At 39.5% G+C, this 10,083-nt stretch overlaps 1 protein-coding gene across 6 annotated transcripts in view, besides 1 other annotated feature; it reads right to left on the bottom strand.

Annotated features, from left to right (window-relative positions):
* Nucleotides 2,698-2,992: a silencer, noted in NCBI's record as "tiled region #3697; HepG2 Repressive DNase matched - State 14:Gen5'". NCBI's record gives its function as "represses a minimal TATA promoter and a strong SV40 promoter by Sharpr-MPRA in HepG2 cells {active_cell/tissue: HepG2}" and the evidence as "EXISTENCE:reporter gene assay evidence [ECO:0000049][PMID:27701403]".
* The window catches only part of SLF2 (SMC5/6 complex localization factor 2), a 52,172-nt gene continuing 45,778 nt past the window's right edge, over nt 3,690-10,083 (bottom strand). For 5 of the 6 annotated variants that reach the window (XM_047425461.1, XM_047425462.1, XM_011539944.4 and 2 more), the window contains exons 19-20: nt 9,328-9,396; nt 3,690-6,947 (exon numbers count right to left, since the gene is read on the bottom strand). In XM_047425461.1, coding sequence (XP_047281417.1) covers nt 6,912-6,947; nt 9,328-9,396 — 105 coding nt within the window. In that variant the 3' untranslated portion in view covers nt 3,690-6,911. Of the gene's footprint in view, nt 6,948-9,235; nt 9,397-10,083 lie in introns of those variants that run through there. The other variant, NM_001136123.2, reaches the window with a different exon arrangement.

The following is a 10,083-nucleotide window of genomic DNA, read 5'->3' as shown; positions in this document are numbered from 1 at the left end:
ACCTAGGCTCACCTCAGGGACTGGGTCATTCAAACACTTGCCTTCCCCTCCAGCTCATCTTGGGCACCATTCTTATCCAGAACTTAGAGTGCACCCTTCTAGGCAATCAAGTACCCTATCCTTCCCAGATTCAATCACCTTACCCAGCAGCAATCTAGGAAACCCCTCACAATCAACTCCCCAACTCCTTTAACTCAACTAGGATGGTCCTTCTGTGCAAACTTGGTTCCTGCCTCCTTTAATAGGTCACAGCCTATTAAAGTGAACTTAGCCCCTATAGTCCAAACAAAACCTGCATTCAGGCCCTGACCCAGCCTGGTCCTTCCTCCTCCATCCATGACAGTATTCATGTGGGCTCAAGAGATGGACCAAAATGATAAAGGCCACAGGAACATATGTGATTGACTCTTGCATGTGCCTAGGAGTCAGAACAGGATTCAAGTGGCACATTTAACTAAAGGAAACTTGGGAAAGGCTTCATCCTTCTTTCTGGATTCCCCAAAGCTCACAGTTTGGCACTGAATCATATACAATCTCGTAGTTTGGATGGCTGTGTGTGACTGCAGACTGCTAGACAGCAGGGCCCACATCACAGTTCCACCTCCCCCAACACTCTGCAAATAGGATGTGTGTGGCGGGGAGAGGGAAGGTAGCTGGGGAGAAACACAATAAAAAATGTACACACACTTTTACAAAGAATATCCTGCTTCATTTTTTATTTGTACCCTCATCCCATCCTGAGGAATTTATAGCCCCATTTTATGGATGGGGAAACAGGCTCTAAGACATTAAGTAACTTGCCTTGAAGTTCATTCTTGTGTTTATGGAGAGGACAATCAAGACTGGAAAAGTCTGAGAAGGAGGAAGCAGGGTAAGCCAGAAGGGGAAATACCATTGGCAAAGGTAGAAATGTTCAAGCTTATGCACAGGCTTGTGTTGGGGAACTAAGGAAGGGGCATGAAAGAGGGCAGTGAGTTTGATTTGATGAAATGGCTGGGGGGGGGGGGGGGGCGGGGAGGGGTTCCTAGTGGGAAATAAAAGGGAAAAGTCAGCTAGTAGTTTGAAAAAGACCACAGAAGAAAATCCTGAAAGAGATGATGGACTGAGTAAGGACGTCTGAGGTGGGAAGACCAGTCAAGGCAGGGCTAAGAAAGATAAATCTGCAGTCCTTATCAAAAAGTGGGTTGGTGGTAACAGTGGAGGCAGGGTAGGAAGACTGCTGGTCCTTCAGTAGCAGATAGGAGAGCAATTAAACTGTAGGGGCCCAGGGGGCTAAGAGGCACAGCTTCCCAAATGTTCACAGAACCTGCAGTGCTGACTTCAGATAGCTCTGGAGGTGGCGAGTAGGCCAGTGTGGTAGGCTCAGTATCACTCAACTTCACTTTATGAACCAAGCTTTGCTCCTCTGAGGTGCTGATGGCAAACTCAGACATTGTTAAATGAGCAAAATGTGTGATTTCAATGATCACTGGGCAGTTACTTCAGTACTTTTGATAGCAGACCACAATCCATTTCCTTCTGCTAGCCTCCCAGTAAAATCTCTAAACCTAATGAGAGTATCAGATGTAAAAGCAATTAATGGAGCTGCCCATAGGAAGCCCTTTTGATTGACAGTATGTCTCTCTGCAAATCCAGCTGGTAAAATAAGAACGGGGGAATACTGACAGACAGTGGAAAAGAAAACTGGAAATCAACTAAAGAAATTAACCCTAACCCAGCCATAAATCTGCATCCTGGGACACAGGCAGGTCATTCTTTGAACAGGCTGTCACTCATCCATAAGGTCACTACCCTGGCTGCTTCGCAGGGTGGCTGTGAGAGGATTCCATTTGGAAACCTTCTGGAGAACTTCACACACACAGAAAAGTATGAGTTTTGTTTTTGCTAGTCTATTTTCCCCAACTTTGCTGTAAGAAAGTGGCTGAGGGTAGTGCTGGCCGTCTTCAGCAGTGATTGTCAGCCACTTACACACCAGAGTTTAGCTCCACTTTGCACAGAACAGTTACTTACTGTAGCAGGGATCCTAGGTGAAGGGGGTGGGTATGAATTCCTGAAACTTGAGCAGGTTCCCTGAAGCAAGAGAACTCTGGCCTAGTCAAGTTGTCCTGCTTACTGTTCAATGTGGCAGCATTTCTGTTCCTGCTTTGCCATCTCCATCTCTGGTTTGCCCAGCACTTTCCCTTTAGGTGGTGTGGTCTTTATTTTGGCTATATATACAGCTGAGGTGCTTCTTCTGTAGGGGCTGTCACCAGTGCAACAATGCGGAAGTCTCACTATTCCACTGTGCCTCAGAAGCCTGTTTAGTTTTCCTCCCAGCCAGTCGTCTTGGAGTCAGACCCAAAGCTGGGCCTTCTGGTTTGCCCTCTCTTGACTCCAGCCTAGGGAATGGTTAGTAAGGGAAAGGGAGTGTCAGGACATTCCCACAAATGCTGGAAAACCACCACCCATCACCAATTTCTCAGCTTTAGCATGCTGGCTTTTAAAAAGTGAAAATTTTAATTAAAAAAAATCAGCAGAGATAGCTGGACAGAGAAGCTCCAGCTCCCGGTATCCAAAGAAATAGGGCACACTTACAACTATAATTTTTGGAGATATGGTTTGCTCAGATGTCAGTACACCCTGAGGTGTCTGCTTAAGATCAAATCTGTCATCAGAGAAACGCCTCGTTAGAGCAGCAAGCATTTGCTGAGTTCTTGCTATATGCCAGGCACTGTACTAGGCACTTTTCATGCATTAGCTCGCTTAGTCCTCACAAACCCTGAGGTAGACACCATTATTCAACAGATGAGGAAACAGTGAGTTTAAGTAATTTGGCAAAGATCAAAAGGCTAGTATGATGAATCTGGGATCTGAGGTCAGGCCTTGGGGCAAGGTCAAGGCCCTTAACTTGCATAAAGCTGTGCTGCCTGCCCTCTAGTAAGTACTTACGGCAATGTCTCTGCTTCTTCCTGGGCTGTCATCCCCTCATCCCTCCGCCCCACTGTCAGAGAAAAATGCTCCCATTTAGTCTCTTTCTAGCCAGCCTGTCAGAAGGCAGAAATACTGGCATGGTTTTGGAACTCAAGGCCTCTGACAATGCCAAGGCCTTCTATGAGCTCCAAAGTTCCTCCTATGAGGTTTCAACCTCTGCCTCCCAAGTTGGCATACCCAGATCTCTATCTGCTTGGCAGGTTGGAGGTGATCTCAAGCCCTGCTTCTGCATTGTACAGCTTCTTCTTTCTTGGTCCTGGGCTCAAGAACAAGGGAGTCAGGTTAAGGGTATTTGTTTCTAATTCTCTTTGCCCAAGAACAGAAAGTATTTTAACCTGGATACCAGGAGGTAAGATTCATGAGTTCTCTATGTTGTTCACCATCAAATCCTTACTGAATCCTAAAAAGAGTGCCTAGTATGTAGTTGAGACTCAATTGTTAGAATGAATGGTGGAATGAACATAGTGAATGAGGTAAGAATGAGATTACTGAATTCCTGATTGCAAAGTATACAGCAATTAACTGGGTTATATAAAAGTGAACTGTGTACAATGGTGGCTTTATGTTTTCCAGAAACAGGAGACATCAAGCTAAAAAACTGGACAATCCAAAGCAAGAAGAAATGTTTAAAAGCCAGGGGACTGGGGTGGGCTGAGGGAACAGGGCATTCCAGATAACTTAGCCTCCCCAACTCCCAAACAAATATTACCAAACACATGTTCAAACTGAGAAAAAGCAGTTTTAATAGCACACACACACACACATTCATAGGACTTTAACAAGATGTAGTATAAAATCTTTAAAAAAAAAAAAAAGGAAAGAAAAAAATCTGTATTTACTTCCTAAGAGCTGGTGGATTAACTGGCTGACAGGACTGCCCAGGAAAAACAAATGCACAGATAATGAGGTGCGCCGACACTGTTCATGAGTAAGGAATAACCATGGATCATGCTAACTGCTCTACGTGCCCCGCCGCCTGGACCCTACTGTTGCCTCCTTAGCGACAAACCACCACAGTCATCCCCTAATTCTCCAACTCAGTAGCTTGTTTAATGGGCTACCTCTTAAAATTTTCATTTTTAATTTAAAAATTACTCTTGGCTTAAAGACGCCACACATTATTACTGGCCAGTCCCCACCAATTATATTTGTTTTGATAAAAATAAAAATGCAAATACTCCAACTAAGCCTGGATGATAACACGCCATTTTGTATCTTTTACATTTGAGGAGATTTTTGTGAAGCTGAAAGCAAGCTACTATTTGCGCTTGAAAGCAGAAACAAAATGCAAACCTTCCAAAAGGTGACAAAGGCACCACTGCCATCAGGAGATAGAAAATGTACAAATGCTGTTACTTTACGGCTACATCAATGCATTTTGTGCATGGAGAGCCTCTTAATGTGATAAAACTAGTAGAATTATATTTTCAGTAACAAGAAAAGCAGTTAGAAAAGGCAAACAGTTACACACAAAAGCATAAACACTTACAAGTACCTTAATGTGCAGCTTGCAAGAAGGGTAATAAGTTTGCCATACATATCCATAAAATTAGACAAGGTGATTTTTGGCACAGTAATATTGCCAAACACACCACCACTCAGTGCAAGCTTCGTTTGCCAAGTCCCCAAAGTGGCCTGACATTCTCTGTGCAATGAACATTTCTCCCTCTCTACCATCCCATTCACCGGGCAATAGCAGCAGGAGGGAGACAAAGCATGGGGACTCAAGGGAGAAGTAAAATACTTGATTTGGAAGAAAAACCATGGGCTACTTGTGCTAAAAGAGAGTCACAAAGTTTTCATGAGAACCCAAATGCAAATACTGACTGGACTATGACCTGGAGTCTGAAGACCTCTACCAGAGTCATAAATACAAGGGCCTAAACTGAGGTCTGGCCATTTATTTTAGAGGGACCATGAAGTATTTTTTTTCTAAAGGAGAAATATAATTAAAAATAGAGATTTTTTTCTTATTGGAACTGTTAAATAAAAATGTATCAAAGTGGTTTTAAATTTGATGGACAGTTATCTGTTGAAACTGCAATACAAAAGGGTCATTAAAAAAAAACCTGAATAACCCACTTGTCCCCCCCATCAATGTACACAATTAGAAAATATTTACACACTGTAAATTACAAGCAATATAAGCAGTATTTTATACTTTGAGATTTTGTACACTTTACACAATGCAAAATGAGAAAAATATGAACACGTATAAAATTACACACAAATAATGTATCTACAAAGGATTAAATTACAGAACGAAAGCCCCCATCGTTGGGCAGATAGATGCCAGAGTTTCAAGCTTCTGTCAAATAGAACTCTTTGTATCTATCTCTTTAACCATAAGTGGCATTTTGTAACAATACCCTTGAGAGGTAGTATCAAGATAATAATATTCTTACCAGTAAACAACACAGAATAAAACTTTTGTTGGTCTGACTCTTGGAGCCTCAATCAGTTTAGGTTCTTGGAAACTGGATTTACTTAGTCTTCCCTATAAAATCTCTGACTGCCAATGCTTGATTGACATGAGCTCAAAAGTTACTGATGCTATTTTAAATGATAAATTTAGGACAAAATGCTTTTTACTCCTAAGCCTCAATTTAGAGGTAGAAAGTTATTTTATTTTCTTGCCTCTCAAACCGCAAACATCAAGTCCAGTTTCTGTTCCCCTCCATCATCTTTCCCCCCCACAACTGGAGACACTAGAGCACTCAGGAGAACAGGTCACTCAAGCCAATACTGAAAGAACAACAAAAAAAGTTGGCATTCTTTCAGGAAACAAACCCTCCTAAAAGGGACATCTCGTCAACAAAATAATTTTCTAGTTGGCTAGTAAGAGTTTGTTACTACCCCTGGGCTAAAAACAACGTGTGCACTTCCACTAACCCTCTACCATTTAAACCAAAGGATGGCTCTCCAGTGTTTAAGAATTTACAGCAGCTGTGGTTTTGAAGTGCAACAACTTCAAGATACAAGCGCACACACACACACACACACACACACACATACACAGACACAGTGTCCCAAAGAATTCAGGTGTCTGCCAAAATTATATACTCATGGAAACAAGGTTGTTGGAAACTTGTCCAGATCTTTAGGCTTTTACAATATAGACTTCTGTAATATGGTTACCAAGAGCCAGAATTCTAAGATATAGCCAAGATTCTAAGATTTAACCAGTATTTAAAATACATGCATTTAAAAGAAATCCAGAACAAACAGCATATGAATGTTCTGGCATCAAAACAGGGCCACTACTTTACAGCTTAACCTCTTCCTCTTAAGGGGATCTGACAACATGCCAAACTTTTGTTTCTCAACTGTTTGTTTAGATGTATTTTAAAAACAGATTTATAATCTTGAGTAATGAAGGAAAATGCATGGATTGAAACCTCCCTGTGGTTTATAAAAGTTACAGAAGAGATTTATGCTTTTTATTACTAAACTCAGTTTTAAGCATTCCCTTTGTGTCCGAAAATAACCAAGAGGGAAAATTAAACCCAACTGGAACTTGGTCTTGCTTTCCATGTCCAACTTCTCAAGTTAGTCCAAGCTCTTTTCTTATATATTTCCTGTGATTATCCAAGTGACAAAAATACTATCTAAAAAAGATAACTGGCTTATAATTTAACAAGAGGAGTTAACTGGGGCAGGTTAGACATATGACTATTATTCTGCTTCTACCCCTCCCCTCTTTTAATAAGACTCTGCACTTTTGAAAGGTCAGTTGCCTTAACAATTAAGCAGATCATATTTCATATCTGCTTCAGAAATGGCAATTTCTTCATTACCAGCTTCATACTAGATATTCAAGTGGCACATTTGCTGTACATTTTCTTGGCATTCATTGGATTCTGTAATAATCCTTTCTACTCCTCTATGAAAGGCTCTTATTGAATTTCTCTTGGTTCATATTTTTGCTGCTGCAACTCCTATTAAGAATCTGGTACCCAGAAGTCATGAAGCTGCCCCTAAAAAAGGGAAGGAGAAAAAAGAGGGTAAAGCAAAATTTAATCATATTATGAATTAATCCTTATAAAACTACTAATCATCAGACAATGGGCTTTGATAAGACAAGTAATAAAATCTTTATATTGACTTCTCTGAAAATTTATGGTAATCAGATTCAAATTTCACATTCAGTAGTCAAACAACAAAAAACAGTAAAAAATAAGTGCAGGATGTTTTTCTCACCACTGCACACATGGAGGGGCTTAGTTAAGCAGATTAAATAATGTTAAGCTGATTAGTATAGTTTTGCTATTAAATTATTTTCTGTTTTAATACCACATCAGTACATGACCAGCATTAAAAGAAAATCTATTAAGGTTAGAAACAAATACAAAAACAACAAAACATAAATATAAGATTTCTCAAAGACTTAAAATAGAGAGATTGCTTTATCTACTTAACATTCAGTGTTCCTATTATTTTGATATAAAATATAAGCAACTTCTAGGCCCTGGCTACTCAAAGTTTAGTCCCTGAAGCAGCAGCATTGGCATCAATCTGATAACTTGCTAGAACTACAGAATATCAGCCAGGCGCGGTGGCTCATGCCTGTAATCCCAGCACTCTGGCAGGCCGAGGCGGGCGGATCACGAGGTCAGGAGATCCAGACCATCCTGGCTAACACGGTGAAACCTGTCTCTACTAAAAAATACAAAAAAATTAGCCAGGTGTGGTGGCAGGCGCCTGTAATCCCAGCTACTGAGGAGGCTGAGGCAGGAGAATGGCGTGAACCCAGGAGGCAGAGCTTGCAGTGAGCCGAGATTGCACCACTGCACTCCAGGCTGGGTGACAGAGCAAGACTCCGTCTCAAAAAAAAAAAAAAAAAAAAAAAAAAAAAGAAGTACAGAATATCTCAGTTCTCACTCCAGACCTATGAGTCAGAATCCATATTTCACCAAGTTCCTAGTTGATTCCTATGTACATTAAAATTTGAGAAGCGTCATTTTAGACAATCCTATGCCAGTTACTCTGTAAACAAGCAGGCTGGCACACTTACTAGCAGGTGTTAAAAAAAATGTCCCTCTTAGGCAAAGACTCCTTAGATATAACATCAAAAAAAAGTGTCAAAAATATATACATAATAAATAAAAATAAAGGAAAGGCAACACACAGAATGGAAGAAAATATTTACAAATTATATCTCTAATAAGGGATTTGTATCCAGAACATACAACTCAATAATAAAAAGACAAATAACTATATTCAAAAATAGGCTTTTTGAAATGAAGTATGGGATGAAAAAAATGGGCAAAGGATCTGAATAGACATTTCTGCAAAAAAGCTATACAAATGACCAATAGGCATATGAGAAGATGTTTAACACCATTAATCATTAGGGAAATGCAAACTAAAACCACAATGAGATTCTACTTCCCTACTCCCTACTATGGCTTTAGTAAAAACAAGTGTTGGTGAGAATATGGAGAAATTAGAAACCTCAGACATTCTGGTGGGAATATAAAATGATGCAGTCACTTTGGAAAACAGTCTGGTAGTTTCTTAAAACACTTAACATAGAATTACCATATGGCCCAGCAATTTGACTTCCTTTTCAAATGTTTCATTTGAGAACACATATTCACATAAAAACTTGCATACAAATGTTCATGGAAATATTATTTGTAATAGCCAGAATGTGAAAACAATACAAATGTCTGATAAGTAGATAAATAAATGTGACATATCCATACAGTGGAAAATTATTTGGCAATAGAAGGGATGTACATGCTATAACATGGATTCACTTATTATTATATTAACTGAAAACAGCCAATTACAAAAGATTACATAGTATATCTCATTTACCGATGTCCAGAATAGGGAAATGTATAGGGACAGAAAGTAGATTAGTGTTTGCCTAGGATTTGGGAGGAGTCAGGAGGGGAACCAAGGTAGTAGAGGAAAGGGGAATGAATGACTGCTAATGGGTATGGGATTTCTTTTTGGGGTGATGAAAATGTTCTAAAATTAGACTATGGTGATGTTATTCACTCTGTCAATGTAATAAAAACCACTGTACACGTTAAGTGGGTAAAATCTATGGTATGTGAATTCTATCTCAATAGATCTGTCTTAAAAATGCTCTTAATTGAATAACCTCCATTTGATGCAATGCAATATTTTTAAATGGGCTCAACCACTTCTGGAAATAAATTAATGAATATAAAGCAAACGAAAACTAAAAAAATTACAAACCATGTATTATACTGGCGTTTTCAGTTTATCTTAAGATAACTAGAAGCAAGTGCACTGTTATACCCTATTTTATTTCAAACAGTATGAAGAGTGCCATTCAGCAAAACTATTAAGAATACATGAAATTGTATAACAAAATGACACCTGAGTAGGCCGACAGTTCTGGATTATTTCCTGCCATTTTCCATGTATCCTGGCGACCAAGTCTTTCACCTTAAAAATATCAAAAACAGGAAAAGGGATCAGATTAAAACATTCTCACCTACAATCAGCTTAACACTACACAAAATATCTGACAGCTGCAACAGGCCCACACTCAACAACTCAATTTGATTTCTGTCAACAAAGAGAAAATAAACTACTCATCTTTTGAAGGAGATTTCAAATCATAGAAATTAATAAGACTCCCTTTATCATCATAATCTAAACTATTGAATGCTTATGATTTAATTTTCCTGTTATTGAAGATCATCCCCAAAAACACATTCTCTGCCTTCAAAGGAACTTAACTTTAACTCGCTGGCTTTTGAACAACCAGATAGAGAAGCTGAAGGGTGGTCTGTGTCAACAGGGCCCAAGGCTTTGGCTGTTCTGTGCCTTCCCTTCCCAGCTTCCCTTTGAAAGGATCAAAGCCATAAAAAAAACGTTTATTTGTCCCTCTCCACATTATTAGAAGATCCAAAATTCACTGTTACTCCTCTCCATGCTTGTGCCCAAGTACTACGAATCCCCTTTAAATACCTCGTATTTTCCTACATTTGGAGGTTTAGCAAGTGTCTGTGCACAACTGAAACTGTAACACAAAACCCAAACTCTATCACTCTAGAGATTCTCAATTAGCTATTGAACATAACTGCTTGAGAAACATGTTTTCAACAAGTCAGGAATTTTATAGCAGCT

This window comes from Homo sapiens, chromosome 10 (genome assembly GCF_000001405.40).
Source record: "Homo sapiens chromosome 10, GRCh38.p14 Primary Assembly".
Taxonomy (NCBI): Eukaryota; Metazoa; Chordata; class Mammalia; order Primates; family Hominidae; genus Homo; species Homo sapiens.
This window is presented reverse-complemented; position numbering and strand designations above follow the sequence as displayed.